Consider the following 19,046-nt stretch of genomic DNA (forward strand, 5'->3'; position numbering starts at 1 on the left):
TCCCAGCAAAACAAACTCTGAATAAAAGTCCCAGAAATTATAGATAGCATAAAGAGCCTAAGAGAAGTTATGTCTTCCTCTTAGGAATAAAAGATGAAAATAAGTGGAGCTATGAATAGAATTTATGATTCCACTAGTGACAGTTGTAAGCATGGAAAATGGTGCTTATGAATCTGGAGGTGAGGAGATGGAGAAAGCTTGGCAAACTGTCCTCATTGTTCAAATAATGTTACTGAGGCATCGCTGCCACCCAGTGGCCAACATCAACTTTAATGCTATCTGTTCCTGTTTGAGGGGGTGAGTTTCAGTATTTTTAAAAAAGAAGATATGAAGAAACAGTAAAGTCACTGCCATTGCTTCTCCAACAACCTCTAATTTGTGTTCTTTTCCAAGGCTCTTCTACTTGTAGGAGCCTATACTTATCTCAGTAGGTGCTTATCTCTTATGGAAAAGAATAGAAAATTACTTCATCAGGATTGTGTTTTAGTGACGCATCATTGTATTTTTCCATTTAGAAGGATTGGCTCATCTTTAATTTTTTTAATTTAAATATTTAATTGGCAGTCCTATATAGAAGGCTAAGCATTCAGTTTTTCTTACAAGATATTCGACAACCAACTGGCAGAATTTACCTTTTATCCCCTCACAGCATGATTTGACACGATGTTTTCTCCCAACTACTGTGTGCTAAAAGGGTCAGTCAAATAACTCTACATACAGTCCCAAGCTCTGAGGAAATTGTAGCATCAGGAGGGATGTAGAGAAGATGTAGAGAGAAAGAGTAAAACAGAGCTTCTTGCAACTTAAATCTTTGCTGCCTTAGTCTCAAAGCCTTGGAACTCAAGAAAACCACAGATTTACAGAGCTTTGACTGTATTTATAACAAGCTATCTCTATAGTTTTTCTCCACCATTGTTAATCATATTGCAGAATATCTTCCTTCTCAGTGTTAATAAATAAAATCACCACATTTTGTGGAAAAGTTTGGAACTAAATAATCTGGAAATTACCAACCTATGCTTCTGCCATATGGCACTGGGAGGCAGATACACAGACCTAGGCTTAGAATAATGTAGTCACAGATTCTGAACACATTCAGTTCTTTTCCTCCCTAGTAAGTGGTTCATCCAATTAATCCATAAGGACAGTGTCTGCTTTCTAAACTCTGGCAATCCAACACAACCACAGCATAGGCAACTGTAAAATAGATACAGGTTTTAAATTGAACCCTCTGCTTCCTTCTGTTAGAAATTGTCCTCATTCATTTTACTTTCTGTTCTTCTATCTTAATAGTTCTATTTTAAGTTTTTCTCCCAGTCTTTTTTTCTCTCTGAATAAATGGAAGAAGTGTTTAGCTGTCAAGAGGAAAGTATGGATGAAGAAGAGATGTTCAGGACTAAGTGCTCCTTAGTTTATTTCTGATTAAAGTGGTTGTTGGTAGTAACATCATATCGTTGACTTCCAAACACTGCAAGTATCTTCCATTAGTCAACTCAAATGCAGAAGGATCCCCCCAGAAGAACAATTATATGAATACATCTTTGGAAGACAAAATTTTCAAGGGGAAGAAAAATAAAATGTTAGATCAGACGCAGAATAGCTGAGTGTTTTTCTCCTCTGCTCTTATTTTATCTAGTCCTTCTACCATGTAAAGGAGGCCCCAGACCCGTCAGCCATACACCAGCTTACCATCTTCAAAGGTTTTGCCTTGTTTTTTATGTTTACTGTGATTTATTTAATCCTTTTTCTTTAAATTCACTTTTACTTAGCTTCATTCTAGATAATAAAATGGCAGAAATTATCACTTTGATGCTATTTTTTGTATAATTCCCATGAAAAGAAACATAACTATTAAAGAAAAATGTCTGCTACTCAAAAGCCAAAACCTGAAAGTTGAAGAGAAGAAAATAAAAAATGATATCTTTCTGTAGCATGCTTGGTATCTCTTTTCTCTCTCCCTCTGTCTCTCACACACATACAGACACACACTCAAACACATAATGGCAATTTGAGAGTATATTGATCTAAATGTTTAAGAATTAGATAGTTGAAAGAAGTAATGTAAAAAATATAATAATTTAAAGAATTGAAAGTAACTTCATATGAAAATTGTACTTCTGGCCATAATGAAATAATAAGGACCAGACTTAACCTCCTGCTATAAACACAGAAACTGGATGAAATATCTAAAATAAAGTATTTTTAGGCTTTAGGCAGTAGGCAGCCCAGGACTATTATCCCTGAGGAAAGGGAAACAATAGTGTGAGCCCTACAACCTCCCTAGCTTCCTGCCTAGAGGAAATTTCTGTACCATGGCCACATGGAAGGGGAAACCAGACAGAATCTAGCAGTCTTAGGGAGTTGAGGACAGCAATTGGAGTTCAGAGAGGCTGAATTCCTTTGAAGCTGTAGGACAGAGTTACAGAAAGGAGAGAACTATAAAAACAAAACAAAACAAAAACCTAGCTGCAGATTTGTTACTGGAATCACCTTGAGTCTTTGTTGAGTACTAGACAGTGCACATAGGAGTAAAACTCCATGACCTCAGACAACAAGCAACCTCGGATTTGTAAGCAGAATAATTTCTAGAGCTCACAAAAGCCAGGGTGTCATTCAAGCACCACCCAATCAGCATGAAGAGTCCTCGGTAGTCACTTGAGGACGTTCAGTACAGACTCCAAATGATCATGCTTTAGTGAAATTATCCCAGGAGTAAATGCTACTTAAAACCATCCCTGGCCAGGTACAGTGGCTCATACCTGTAATCTCAGCACTTTGGGAGGCTGAAGCAGATGGATTGCTTGAGCCCAGGAGTTCAAGACAAGCCTGGGCAACATGGTGAAATACCATCTCTACAAAAAAATACACTAGGCATGATGGCACATAACTGTAATCCCAGCTACTGGAGGGGTTGAGGTGGGAGGATCACTTGAGCCCAGGAGGTCACAGCTGTAGTGAGCTGTGATCGTGCCACCACGCTCTAGCCAGGGTGACAGAGCAAGACCCTGTTCAAAAACAAAACAAAACAAAACAAAATAACAACAACAAACCCAGCCCTAATACATCTTCAAAACAATACTCAAAGCAATCAAACTGGTCTGCAACTTAAGTGTCAAAACACTCATTAAAGACAAGAAAATCCAGACACTTAACAATATAACAATCACAATGTCCAACATTCAATAGGAAATCATTGGGCATGACAAGAGGCAGGAAAATGTGACCCATAACAAGGAGGAAAAGTATTTCAAAGAGAATATAAGCATAATGAGTACAGAAGTGAAAAAATAAAAGGAACTCAAGCACCCTCACACACGTATCACTTTGATCCTTATACCAATCAATTAAGGCATGACACAATATTATTTAACCCCATGTTATAGATGAGAAAACCAAGTCATAGGTATTGTAAATAAACTGCCAAAAAGACATGAACCCCATAGTTTTTAGAGTCAAACTAGAACCCAAGTCTTTTGAATCATTAATGTTCTTCAGTAGATGGTAGCATAAATCATAGTTAAAGGAGGTTACTGTGGATAGTAGTGGACTATGGTAAATTTTCTTAGATCATTGCAAGGCAAAATTATCAAGAAAAACTGTGCATGTGTAAATGTATGCCTGTGTGTATGCATGTGCATGTGTGTACCTGTGTGTACATGCATAAAGGCTATGCCATACAGATTATACAATTCCACACAATAATTACTCTTATTCTTATAAAGTTCATTTTACTATGCTGTGCTCAAATCTTAATATAGTTACCATTATAAAAATGACTTTTCTAATGGAACGAGGACTAACTCTTCCCCAATTCTAAAAGCAGGGCTCCAAAACATTGCCCTAAGGATGTAACTGGAGAAAAACGGAGGAAATTAGTTTTAAACTAAAAGCCACTTTTATGTGGCGAGGTCAGTATAACTCAGGAAAGAGTTTAAAAATTGAACTTACAAAACTTTCGTTACTGGAAATTTCTAAAAAACAACAATTTGTCTGGAAAAGGTCTGTATAACTTTTCTTAGAGGAAGAAGGCTAACTAGAAGATGTGTGACAGACTCTTTTAATTCTAATGTTCCATATCCATTATTCTTTCCTTATAATATCCATTATTCTTTCCTTAGTCACTGTGAATACATTTGAATGTTATATCCTATGGAAGGGATGTAAATTTCAGAGTATTAAAATATTCCCTTTTTATGCTGTACTCTGAAAAATGTAGGAGCTTACTATCATTTTTGAGTTATGTTACATTTAGAGCACGGGAATAGAAATGGCCAGGGATATGCAAGAGTCCATATAAGACCTCACTAATGTGAACACTTTGATGAATACAAACCAGTGCTTCCTTATGAGTGTACTGTAAAGACATATGTATATACTTATTTATAATATGTATAATAATTTTAAAAAGTATGTAAAAATGACACATATGCATATATATACATGCAATCATGCATGTGTGCATGTGCACACACATATATTTGAGAAACACTACATAGAAACACAGTATTTTTTCTTAAAGATTCACAATGCCTATTAACATGTTAAAGGTTTTGAAAAATTGTGCAATAACTTTTCATGCATTGGCAAACTACTCAGATTGGAATCTTGTTTTGAAAAATAACTGTTAATATCTTGCAGAGCTATTATTCCCTTGAAATCCAGTCTGGGAAACAATGTTAAAGATGCTAGCTTCAAAACTTTGGTGCTGAAATAGGACTTCTTAAATATAAACACAAGCTTATACCCTAGTAATTATTTGCTCTTGTTAGATTCAGTTTCCTTATACAACAAATAGAATAGTGATATCTATCTCAAAAATTTGTGTGAGATTTTAAATTATAAACCTTATTCTACACAGTATCAGGTGCAAAGTAAATTTTCAATAAATATTAATCATATTGGCTATAATTTGATTAAATAGATGAAATTGTGGAGAAAAGCTTTTTTCATTAAAAATCGTGGGTTGTTACTGCAAGAGAACTATGAGAAAACCCAGAGTAAAAAGGCATATCATGTTCAATATTCAAAAGAAGATATATGGACCGGGCACAGTGGCTGTCATCTGTAATCTCAGCACTTTGGGAGGCCGAGGCAGGTGGAATCACCTGAGGTCAGGAGTTTGAGACCAGCCTGGCCAATATGGTGAAATTCTGTCTCTACTAAAAATACAAACATTAGCCAGGCTTGGTGGTGTGTGATTGTAATCCCAGCTACTCAGGAGGCTGAGGCAGGAGAATCGCTTGAACTCGGGAGACGGAGGTTGCAGTGAGCCAAGATTGCGCCATTGCACTCCAGCCTGGGAGACAGAGCAAGACTTTATCTCAAAAAAAAAAAAAAAAGAAGAAGAAGAAGGTATATTATATATTTTCATTCACTTGACACCCTTTACAACCAAAGTAGGGGCAAAACATCCCAATATAGTGGCTCTCCAAGTTTCAGGAGGATCTTTACTAGCCTTTTTAGGCAAATAGAGATTTCTCTATTAAATAAAACCAGAAAAAGCTATCATTTTAAATGGAAATAATAACTGACCCCAAAGCAGTAACCAAATAGAACAGTTTGAAACGTCCGTTTCATTTAAATTTAGATGTTTTCAAAATGTTCATTTTTTAAAATTTAAAACCCTACTTTAAGTTTCTCTCAAAATTATTCCTACACTAAAAAGTAGACAGTGAATCTAATGGTTGACATTACTTTTCACTGAACTCTTTTGACTTTAGTTGACATTGGTAATTATCAACCAAGAAGTAATCACTTGCATATTTGAGGCCTCAACTTAGTATATGGCAGTAATTGACATTGAGGGAAATTTCAGGACATTATTCTTTTAAGAACAAAATCAAACTTTTCAGAGAAGTTTGTTGCATCTTCATCTACAGAACAGCATTCAAACATGAGCAACTAGAGTGTCATTTGCCAGAAAACTTTTGAATTGGACTTTCTGCCTAAGAATTAGTTTGTTCTTAGCAGAGTCGGCCTTAGAGACAAATCTAAATTTGAGATCAGCTCCCTGACTTTCAAATTCTGCAGATTTGAGCAAGATATTTTGCTATTCTGTGATTTGTCTTACTTATAAAAGAGAAATGATGTCATCTGTTATATGAGGTTGCAGAGGTAAGAAATAAGTGAGATCACACATGGAAAGCACCTAGAAGGGGACCCAGCAAGGTTTAAGTACCAAAAGATGGTAATTATATGTCTATCTATCCATAAGCTAGAAACAGAAAATTAAATATTTGTAGGTTAAAGCACATTAAAAAACAAATTCTTTAAAAATCATTTCATGACATTTTATGTATTCCTTGCCATCACATAAGTAAGATGGGTAAAGAAAATCTCCATGTCTTTGCTTGCCATTCCCCAAATAAATAACCCCCACCCATCCTACGTCTGCTTGGCTAGCTCCAACACTCTTTCTTTTGTAAGTTTTTCTCTACTCCTATCCCTGGCTGAGTTCATTATTTTATCCTCTGTGGGACTTATTTGGACTAATTATTCAATTTAGCCTGTATTTGTCCTGTCATTGATCCTTTACTATCCATGTAATCCTGGCTGGCAAGAGAAGGTGTTTACAAGGATCATTTTTCAGCTAGTTGCCATACCTCAGAACTCAAATGGCTACTGAAACTGTATTAAATGTAGTTGCTCATTCTGGAAGCCAGGGTACAAATTTCACACAAATTGTGATACCAAATACCATACAAATGTTCTCTATGTAATCTTGGATTACTTCATGGTTTTTTTGAAGATCTACTTAGTCTGATTTACAGACTCCTAGAGCAGAGTGATATCATGAAAGCAGGCTGCAATCTGTTTCTATACCATTGGGCAAAAAGTGCTAGGCTGTCTACTAATGCAGTGGCATTAAAATAACCATGGCTGGGTGTAGTGGCTCATGCCTATAATCCCAGCACTTTGGGAATCTGAGGTGAGGGGATTGCTCGAGGCCAGGAGTTTGAGACCAGCCTGGGCAACATAGCAAGACCCCATCTCTAAAAAAGAAAAATAAATAAAAGAAAAACAACCACTACCTACAAAAAAAATGCATTTAACATTTCAGACTTCTCCTTTTCCTCCTCCCTCTCTTTGTCTCTCTCTCTCTCTTTTTCTCTCTCTCTCTCTCTCTCACACACACACACACACACACACAAACACTTGTATACACACATAACTAAAAGAAAATATTCACAACATAATACTTTATAATGAGTGAGGGACTTCTACTCCAGTTCAGTTCTATTTTATTCCATTTTATTTTTTGATGCTGGTTATGTCATACTAAATTAATTTCTCATATTCCCAGAAAATTAGTGAGTGCTTAACAGCACATGAAACATTATATAACTCTCCTGTGAATTTTTGGGACCTTTGTTGTATAAGATATTTCACAAGTGCTCTACTTTCATATCAGTTTTCCCAACAAAATACTTGAATGTTGCAATGTTAAAAAAAATTAGATTGCATAAATAAAAGATATCTAAGAAGGTGTTTCTTTAAATGAGAAATGCTGTGCATCAAGGTCATAGTTTTCTAAATCCATAATACTAGCTTCTAATTTTATCCATGATTAGTATGACGGCCACTAGACATCTCCCACACACATTGCACAGTTATAAATTTGTTTTTACAATGAACGGTAGCTTCATAAACATGATGCATGAAAGATACACTTCCTGTGCTGTTCTCCAGACAGCTGGAGAGGAAAAGTCAAATCCTTTATACAAAGTCTCCTTGTTGTCATTACATATGGTCTGTAGTTTCCAGACAGAGTGTCACCCTAGAAGTTGGCAACGAGGTAGAGGAAAATGTCAGCCTTTTGCTTGAAGTTAAATGAAGTTCACCACTTGAAGAAGCAGTCCAGCCCCTAACTGGGTTCTTATGTGGACTCACTGAAGATGAAACTACAGTATCTGCCCAATTTCAAGGGAGCAAATGTAATTTTAATGCAAGAAAAGACTAGATGCATTTAATTAGACAGTATCCACAAAGGTACTGGAGAAAGATAATGAGTGAAAAAGGATTCATTTCTTAAACAGGACTCTAGACTCTACATAAGTAGCATGATGCCTTTTCAGCTCTATTATTTCAGGGAAAATGTGAAAAACAGCCTTTACCTTAGTCTGATGATATTCTCCATTATAAGAGCCTAACTCTCTTTGTTCTGGCTGCAGCCTTCTGATAGAACAGTTCTCAGTGTCGCTGGTTTCTAATGCAGATGTTCCTTGTGGAAAGAGAATACAGTGAACGTTCTAACTCCTTGGCAGTTCTTGATCAGTATAAATTAATACAATTGAATCTTGACTAATAAGATGAAGACCACAGATCTTTAAAGTAGGTAAAAAACTTTAAGAGCATTTCAACCTCTTTCTTTCACAAATCTGGAAATTGGGAACCAGAGGGTGATGTGACTTTCCAAAGCTGCGGATTAAAAGTTTATCTAGGTTGAAATGTCTCCCACAGTAGAGTACTCCAGAGTAAATGGAAATAATTAACAGTCCTCCTTCATTCGATTATTCTAGTTTCACTGGGAAAAACTGCCATTTCTGAGCATGCAAACCTGAGACTTTCTCCCCCAGCAGCACACCATCAAAGAGGCACAATTTGAGGGACCAAAATTTCCTACTGGGGGCAGAGAAATCTGAATCTAAACCCAGCTGTGTGGCATCAGGCAATTTTTATGATTTATTTAAACTTTCATTTTCTTATCTTGGGACATTAATACCACATGAATTATACCTAACCTACAAAGTTAATGTAATGATGTAATAAGTACCTACTAAATGTTAGTTGTTATTGAAATGTGATTTTTTTCTCTCTCTTATGTCTGAACTCCCTATAAATGGAACCCTGAAACTGAACTTCTGTCCCTATTTTCATTTCCAGGTTTTGGACACAGGTAGCACTAAACTGTCTGCTGCAATGATTCTCAGACAGTGGCCCCCAAAGAATACTATCATCACTACATGGGAGCTTGTTAGAAATACAAATTATCAGGCTCCATCCCAAATCTCCTGAATCAGACATGCTAAGGGTGAAGACCAGAAATCTGTGTTTTAAAAAACCCTCCAAGGAATTCTGATATATGCTAAAAGTTGAGAGCCACTAGTTTACTGGATTCAGAGGGAGTAGAGACAGAAATTGGCAAAAGGTGGTGTGATTAAGTCAAAGGACTCAATTTGAAGGCAGCTTCTAAAAGAAGACTGGACACGCATTAGAAAAACAGCTGTGAGTCAAAGCATCAGTCACAAGGGGCAGGGGTGGGATGGGGGTGGGGACAAGACAGGGCAAAATGCTCCGAGTCAGGAGATATTCCATCTCTAATGCACCTCCAGATAGAATGGAAAGTTCCCTTTAGACAAGTGGGGAAGACGATTTCATGGGCTGTGAGCCCAGAAACTTCATTATCCCAATTCACCTTAAGTCTATTAATTCTGTTAAATTCTAACATACCATAAAGAACGTTCACACAGAACAGCTCTTTGGGGTAAATCATAGATCCTCTTAGTCTGAAGGTTGATACTGATAGGCTATTATGACAACAAATATGACCCATAATTTCTTTCTAAATCTTATCATCATGATTTCAATGAAGTATTCTTAGAAAGTTACTTTGAATTTCTCAGCTTAGTAACAGAAGCAGAAACACCACACTTTGGCCTGGTTTAGCCCCTGACTCTTGGCCAAAAATGTAGCAACTACAACAATCAGCAGTGATCTAGCATCTGAAGAAAAATTCTGGAAGGAGGCCATAACTGCACGCAAACTGTATCCATGGGAGGAGGGATCAATCTCTTTACTCCATAGCCAGAGACATTTGTTATATTTATTTTCAAACTCTTACCTCACATTCTGCTATCTGTGCACATGTGCAGATGCCATGAGTAAAAGGAACAGGCCCACCCCTCTCTGTTCTGCACAACACCAGAGAGTTAATCTATTGAAGTCCCCTGCTTAGGAATATAAAATCTTTAATCTCTTGCAGATGAAATTTAGTCTCATCCTTTGTCTTATTCCAAAGACTGGAGTCTGTCTTGGAAATCAAGTTAACTCCCTGATTGCCTTTCAACATAGTCCCTGGACCTAGCTGCCTGAGATCCCATACATTTCCAGTGGCTCCCTGTCTCATTTCTATGCTTTACTTCTGTCTTTCTTTTCCACCTAAAGTATTTTCTAGCTTAACCAAGTTACCACCTTGATTCCCTTTAATTAATTCACTCATCCAAGCAATAAATATTATGTGCATACTTAGCATCACCACCTACAAGTTACTGAGAACTGCAGAAGTCCTGTTTCTACCCTCACATTGGCTCACAACTTAGAGGTAAGAGACAGACAAGGTGACAGACATTTCCAACATGGTGTGAGTAGTTTACAAGCTTCTAGAGGATGGGAACTCTGTTCTATTTACAGACATCATTCATGACCTCTAGCACACCCGAGCTGCCCACCTCACTAGAGTTTACACTACAGTGATACTGAGTTGAAATTAGGTCTAAAAATGGTGAAATCTTGTTTAAAGTTGTCCTTTTGGGGAAATGAATAGCAAAGAAAGTGGAATATCTAAGGAAAAAAATGCCTTTTCTGAGAAATTTTACAATTAAATGAAGGAGATACAAAAGAGATAAAAAGAAAATGAGAAAGCATTTGTGGGCTGACTCAGAAGAACCTCAAATGAGAGGTTCTCAGGCAGGAACAAGAATTCCCAGAAAGCCTGGCAAAGAACAGGCTCTCAAGTCATTCTTTTTGGTTTGGAGTGCCTGGCATTTGATGCAACCACTGCTGCCCCTTGCCCCATTCCCTTTAGGGAAATCTATTTACTTCACCTTGCCTCACCCTAGGACAGAAAATCTTTGTTTGACCTCCCATTTGCTTCTACCATTGCTGAAAACACTCAGTTTCTCCTAGAATAATTGCAGCTTGATATTTTATATCTTCATTTGCTATGTTGTTGACCAGGTGGTAGAAAAATATATTTTGCATCGTGATTATTATTGTATTAAAAGTTCTTACCTTTTATGACCATAAAAATGAGTACTAAAATACCCAGACTTTAAAAATCAATGTCACAAATCACATCTAATTGAAAAGTAAACAAATTCTTTCTTGTATGCCCTTTGTTATGGGATCAAATTTGTTTTTTTCTGTGAATCTTCAGATTAAATAATTTTAAGGGTATACTGCAAGGATATGCTTGAATCTGCTACATCTACCTATATAGTATACGCAGTATACAAAGTAGTCAAAGTAGATGATGGTGGAATTAGTACTACCGATTGTCCTGATACAAATCATTTAAATCACATGAAATTTTGTGAATCAAATGAACTTGGAAAATTTTCTTTAGTAGACAGTTAGCAAAGCTGATTTGCTGTTGTTGTTGTTGTTGTTTTTTTTTTTTTTTTTTTTTTTTTGAGATGGGGTCTCACTCTGTCACCCAGATTTGAGTGTAGTGGCTCAATCATGGCTCACTGCAGCCTCAACCTCCTGGGCTCAGATAATACTTCTGCCTCAGTCTCCTGAGTAGCTGGGATCACAGGGGCACACCACCATGCCTGGCTAATTTTTTTATTATTATCCATAGAAATGAGGTCTCACTATTTTGCCCAGACTGGTCAAAGCTGATTTTTTTAAACTACAAAATGTAGGCTGGAGTTTTTAGATAAGCTGGAATAATGGGGTTTACATGTAAATGAAGACATCACTTTGCTTTAGAAATGCTCACTGCCTTATAAAAAGGCAGAGCAGGTGAACTGTGTACTGTGGTCAGAAGATGAGGAGACCCATGTCTTCGGGATTCTCTTCTGCTAATAGTGTGTGCCTCAAATTCTACTGTGGAGACTGAACTCTTGATCTGAATCTCTCTGCTGAAAGGCATAGCCAGTTGGCCATAATAATTCTAAGTATAATTTGTTACTGGCCATTTATAGTTTCTGTTGAAAGAAAAATCTATCACTGATATATTAAAGGGAATAAAGAGAGCAGATATTAATTATAAGCTTTCTATACACAAGGCACTATTAATTTATCTCCCTTAATCTTTACAAAACTATGAACTCTACTGGGTTGCAGCACTGGCTGCCACTAGCCTATAGAATTTCTCTGTGCAAGTTAGAAAAAGCTGTTGAATCTGGAAAGAAAAAGTCGTAAGGCACATGGGTTGGTGAGGGAATGCAGGCTGGATTTTAGCCCCAAATCATATTTTCGTGCAATACACAAGTTTCACAACTGTTCATAGTGCTTTGGAAGTAGGTGTTATTATTTTAAGTGAGAAAATGAAGGCTCAGGGGCTATGTATTCTTCCCTAGGGCAGAAAACAAGTAAGTGGGGCAATCAGGATTTGAACTTTGGCCTATTTGATTCTGAACTTGTAATTTATTTCTTCATCTGTAAAATCAGAATAAAATGGTATTTTTGTTGTAAAGTTGTCATGGGGGGGTTGAATAAGGAGATTTATGTAAAGCATTTCACACTGTATCTGTATCTAGTATACTATATTATATTATACTCTATTCCCCTCCACACATACATGGAGCGGCAAGGATTAACAGCTGGTTTCATAACCTTTCCTCTAGTTTTGGAGACACTTAAGGATTTGATTCGGTCTAACCTCTCTGCAGCATTAACTCAAGAACTTGTTTAAGAATTTATGCCATATCCAAGATAAATGAGAATTGGCCTGTTGACTATGTTCTGGATGAACCTCTTTTACCTTATCTTTGAAATGCAGTCGTAAGGAACTTACTTGCATCAGAGTGGGGGAGACAGGTCGTGATTCACTAGGTAGGAAGGGTGAAGGGACCATTCATCTGTTGTCTTCCCTGAGTTGAGGTAGTCTACATGTACTCGGCCTGCCTCCTGTGACCACCATGTGTCCCAAAGGTAAAGTGACTGGGACATCAGAAACTGTGACTAGGAATCATGAATCTTCCACTGTGCCATTATTGCAGATGCTTGTTTCCTGTCTTATCTTAAAGCCAAAAATACTTAGGGCTGGTTGAAGCTTACTTTGCTTTGTGAGTTTGATGTTGATCTGAGCCCAAGACTGCAGTTTCCAGTACAAGCTTGTAGGTGGTGCATTACACTATTGGGTAGAGTAGAGATCAGGAGAGAGAAACAGAGAGAACATCTCTGAGAAGAGAGATAGGTCCTAAGATAAATTAGAAAATACCCAAGTTTCAAGAAAATGGAACAATGCAGAACAGGGGGAATCCTAGTGAGGAATTACTTGGTGCCTCTGCTTTACTATAAGTAGACATTTTTCCCAGCAGCCCCTGTAGGAGGACCAGACTTGGTATGATGGCTGGGTCCCAATTGCCAATTTAAGTCTTTGTAATGCAGTCTTAGAGCAGGAGAGAGACATAAGGCAATATTTCTTGTCTGCTTACTCTGTGCCATATGTTGTCCTTGGTACAATCTCTTATAATTACCAAAACTCTAAAGCCAGATAATTGATATTATTCCCATTTTATAGGTGAAGGAGGTGAAGCTCAAAGGCAAAAAAAAAAAAAAAAAAAAAAAAGTCAAGGCAGGCCAGAGGAGGTGGTAAAGTTAAGCACTTAAGCCTAGGTCTACTGTTGCTGAAGTCCTTGCTCTTCCTACTTTGCCACACTACTTCAAAAATATTAATAGTATTAATTTTTGCTGATGGTGTATTTTAGCCAAAATGTCTATATCCATTTGTAGATAGATTTATTGAGCACTTCTTATGTACTAGGCACTATGCTTTTTAAAATCTTGTTTCATTTAATGTTCATGACACACCTGGGAAGTAGATCCCATTATTGCTTTTCACAGATAAGGAAACTGACCCACAGAGGTTCGTTAACCTGCCCAAGATCACACACTATGAAGTCACACAGCTATTCAGTGATACAGTCATATATACAAAAGGATCTAGAATTCCAGCTCAAATGGAGTGTGAATTCTTCTAGACCAGGAATCACATCTCAATGTATGTGTACTTCCCTAGGACATTAAAGATGGTGAAAACTCTGCAAGGACCAGTGGCTCACACCTGTAATCCCACACTTTGGGAGGACGAGGCAGGTGGATCACTTGAGGTCAGGAGTTCCAGACCAGCCTGGCCAACATGGAGAAACCCCGTCTCCACTAATAATACAAAAATTAACTGGGCATAGTGGCGTGCACCTGTAATCCCAGCTACTCGGGAGGCTGAGGCAGGAGAATTGCTTTAATCTGAGAGGAGGAGGTTGCTGTGAGCTGAGATCATGCTACTGCACTCCAGCCTGGGCGACAGAGTGAAACTGTGTCTTGGGAAAAAAAAAAGATAGTGGCAACTCAATAAAGTTTGTTCTCTCAGAATCTGGCTATCCATCCCTTGTCAGGGAGATATAGTTAAAAAATTGGACTAGATCACTATTTGTAACAGAAAAAGACTGGAAACAACCCAAATTCCCACCAGTAAAGAATGCATTGAATAAACTAGGTATGTTCAAATAGTGGAATAGTATACAACCTTAATTAAATGAGGAGTATTTATCTATATTTCTATGAAGCTATTACCAAGATATATTGTTAATTGAAATTTTTTAAAAGCAACTTATATAAGAGTGTACATAGCACACTACCTTTTGTGCAACAAATAGACAAATATATGTTTATATTGCTTTAATTATATAGATACGTTTACTTATGCTTTTATCTCTCTCTCTCTCTCACACACACACACATTAGGTTTTGCTTTAATATCTATTTAAAACCTAACAAACATGTCACTTATGAAGAAGGGAGAGAACAGAGGTGGGTAGGGTCAGGGATGGAAACTTGACTTTTCTAAAACTGAATGTACCTTGCTTTATGTTTTCATTTTGAAACCATGCTTATATATAACACAACTTAAAAAGTTGTATCAAAAAATAATAATTTTCAAAACCTGAAACAAGTGAACCAAACTATATATCATGTAGGTGACAATGACATGGAGGAGATTCAATTTAATCGGCTTTAATTAATAATATTTTGATCACACATTCTAAGGATAAAAAAGAAAACCACAAAGAAATATTAATATATATTCAGTAGGTTATTACTGAAAATACTGCTATTATTATTTTGAAACTATTGTGTGTATAGACATAAAATAAAGAATTATGTTAATATTTTCATGAGTTAAGATATGTTCAGAAGAAAGGTAAAGAGATATAAATATAAAAACTAAGAACATAAAAACACTGATATCTTTCATTGCAATTGGTGAAAATAATAGCATGAACTTAGGAATCATGTTTATTTTTCTAAAAAACTATATTCACTATTTTCTTACTTGTTCCACTAAAAAACCTAGAAGCAATGAAAACCAGGAAATAATGAATACTCCTGGTGCCCAGGCTGTGGTTTTTTAAAAAAAATATTTCCCATTAAAAGGAACCAAGACTCCTTAAAAAAAAAAACCGCTGATTCCAGGTCTGGAACAGGAAGTAGACAAGATGAATTTGGAACATATTGTTGTGCCTGAAAGCAAAACTATCAAAGGAAACTGCATGGTGTCAAAAGACAGAAACAAACTTGAAGGGCCTCCCTTGGCCAAAGTTGGGAGAACTTAAGTATCAAAAAAGAAAAATAATTGCAATGAATTAAACATGTTAAATAAAAACATTTAAAAATCGAAGACTTTATGATGGTATTTAAAATAAAAACTCAGTGGTCACTTTTGGAGCTTGTTAAAATACCAACAAAAATTACCCTGGAAATTTATAGTTAAGGAAAGAGACTCAAGCATATATCCTGCCTTTCCTGCAAGAACCAGATTTTAAGGCAACCAGATAGTTGACGAAAAAAAGTTCTCCTTGATGAAAGAAGGATAATAATAGGCTTGAAAAAAATCCCATTTTGAAAATTTTAATGAAGTAACAGATTTGGGCAATTATCACTGATGGTGGCTGTAACCATTAGGTGAACAATTAGTGGGGAGGTATTTGTAGAACATATGTGAGACTGGTGACACCTGAATCCTGTCATCAATCTAAACATTACTGAAAGTGTAATGTCCAGGCATTATATTCATCTTGATGTGATATAATGGAAAGTATATACTACCAACAGCCACTCCCCCCCAAAAGTTTCTGAATCATTAACTATGAATTTTAAGAAAGTATGGAAGATAAAGAAGCATGTTGAAAGCACCATGAAGATTATGGTCAGCCTAATCCAGAATGTGAGAAATTATGAGACAAATGACTCAGTTTCCTCAGCAAACAAATGGCACAAAAAGGAGGGGAAAGTGTTATAGATCGCAAGAAACTTAAGAGACATATCAATGAAAAGCAATATTTGGTATTATTTGTTTTCTGATTCTAACAGACCAGTTATAAAAATACATTTGTGATAATTGAAGAAAGTTGAATCAGCCTATTTATTCGATATTAATAAATTATTTATTAATTTTATTAGATGTGATAAGAGTGCCATAGTCATGCTAACAAGCATTGCTGATGAGATATACATATCAAATAATCTATTAGTAAAATAATATGCTAACTGGAATTCAAAATTATCTGAAAAAATAAAAGTTTGGTAGGCACAAAAAGAGATGAAGGAAGAAACAGCAGAAAATGAATAGTGGATGAAGCTGGTTGAGGAGGCATATGGATTCAATGAACCATATTTCCTACTTTAGGGAGTGTTTGAAAATGTTGGTAAGAAATAGTCTGAAATGTGAAGTACAAATATGGAAACGAGGTGGGCTGGTTCCTGATCCCAGCCTATTCTAAAAACTCGGAACCCCCAGGGAGGGTCATGGTGTTAGATTGAGGCCCACTGCAGGTAATTGACATCCCTGTGGCACCTGGGTGCTGCCCACACACTAGCCTGTAGGACGTAAGAAGACCTCGGAGACTAGAAATCACCTGCAGACTGGAGACAGGTTAAAAAGGGCTCTTAGCCCAAACTGATACTGAAGCATCTCAAATTTTATAATGCAAAAAGTTATTAAATCAGCAACATTTATATTGCCACATGCTTGCTTTGTATATCATTGACGTTGTTCCTAAAATGTGTGGTTAATCATTTCTGAAAATTTTATATTGATCTATTTTATATAATTTAATTCAATTTTGTTTAACAAACATTAATAAGCTCCAAGTGATCAAGGTACCATGGGGGTGGGAGTCAGGGTTGGGGAGTAACAAATATTAGAAAGAAAAAACATCTTGCTCTGCCTTTTTGGTGATTACAGTCTAACGGGAGGCAGGCAAACAAGCAGAGAAATGTGACATAAGTGATAAGAGAAGGACATGAGCAAATAAAAGCATTTTAGATGACTGAAGGGAACATAAGACCATGCTATCAGCCTTCCTGGAACACTACCAACCTACCACAAACAGCCACATTTAAGCCCTCTATCCTCTAATTCTGATGCTAAAGTTCTGATTCCATTTATAAGCCATCATCTCATCTCATCTTCTATGCAGTGCACGAGACTCTCTGAAATAGGTTGGTACCTTTGGACAATTAAAATGAATGCAGTAATTGGAAATATGAAGGTGCTCTCACAGGAATTGTGTTCTTGCTATGTTGTATATGCATGTGTAGGAATGTTAAAATGTTAACATGTCTTTGACTGCATAACTGCAATCATTATTAGTTAAATAGTAAAATGTTCTTTTCCAATTCTACTTTTATACATTCATTCACTTAACAAATACATATACCTCTGTGTGCCAGTCACTGTCTAGGCACTACAGACAAAGAAGTGGACTTGAGAGACAAGGTCCTTGCCTTTATGGGCTCATATTTAGATATCTGGAAATTAAACCAACTTGTAAACAACTATTTCAAATAAAGGATAAACAGAAGGAGGTGTGGGGTGGAAGAATGAATATTATTAGATTAGTCTAAAGAGGCCTCTCTTGAGAAACTACATTTGAGCTGAGTCCAAAATGATATAGAGGCAGCCATGTGAACAGATAGGGAGAGAGTGTTCCAGGCAGAGGGCACAGCAAATGCAAAACCTTTGAGAAGAAAACCAGCTTAGGATATTCAAGGATAAAAAAGAAGAAAAGAAAAACAGCATGCTGGAAGCAAACTGAGCTGGGAGATGAGTGGTACTATATGAGATTAGAGAGAAAGTCAAGGCTATGTGCAAGGAGTAATCATGCATCTCGGTTTCCTTGTAAGGTTCAGTCTCAGTTTGTACCTGTTGTCCTCTTCTTGACTAATAGGGCTCCTTTTATCTCACACATGTCCTAGAGGGGAGTAGAAATGATACTGTCACTCTACTCAGACTTTGGATCCTATTCCAAGTGCAGTGGGAAGCCATGAAGTGATTTTACGCTAAAGAAAGGCAAGATGTGATGTATCTTTTGAAAGAGCACTGTTATATTTTATGCAAAATCTCAACTGATTTTTCCCTGTTAATAATAACTAATACTGATGATGATTACTGTTAGTTTACTGGACCAACAGAGGTGATTTCCCAGGTCTCCACTCCAATTTTTTTTCACATGATCACATAACCACATAAGTCAAATAAACATGGACTGGACACAAATACACACTCATCTACTTATTCTCTATGCCAAGGCAGTGGAAGAATATGGAATGTGTAATATTTTATAAACGTCCTTTTACTAAATGTTATTAGTAAATTATTCCCTTACATATATAGCATTGAATCAACAGCTCATTCATCTTCAGGGAACATATCAAATATACTGTTTAGGTAGCATGATGGCATGGTGCTAAGAACATTAAATTAAGAGGAAGGCACCTTGAATTCTGGCCATTTGGAATAATTTGTTTAAACATGTTAGGTCTCAGTTTCATCAACTACAAAATGGAAGTTTAGAGTTTTTTATTTCTTTCAGGGTAGGAGTGTCAATACTTGAAAATAGAACTAAAATAATGTGGAGGAGAGAGTGAAAGTAAGGAGAATGGAGAGAGAAGAACTAAGACAAGGATTAGAAGGAGAAAAAAAGAATGAGGAGGGAAGGAGAGAGATGGGGAGAAGGAGGAGAAGAGAGTGAAAGAAGAGGAAGAGGAGGAGGAGGAAGAAAGCAAAGGGAAATAGGAAAGGAAAAGGGGGAGAA

At 36.7% G+C, this 19,046-nt stretch overlaps 1 annotated feature.

Moving 5' to 3' along the window:
• Positions 182–261: a silencer, noted in NCBI's record as "silent region_14826". NCBI's record gives its function as "represses an Ori minimal core promoter by ATAC-STARR-seq in GM12878 lymphoblastoid cells {active_cell/tissue: GM12878}" and the evidence as "EXISTENCE:reporter gene assay evidence [ECO:0000049][PMID:35858748]".

The sequence above is a fragment of the Homo sapiens genome, chromosome 3 (assembly GCF_000001405.40).
Source record: "Homo sapiens chromosome 3, GRCh38.p14 Primary Assembly".
NCBI classification, from domain to species: Eukaryota; Metazoa; Chordata; class Mammalia; order Primates; family Hominidae; genus Homo; species Homo sapiens.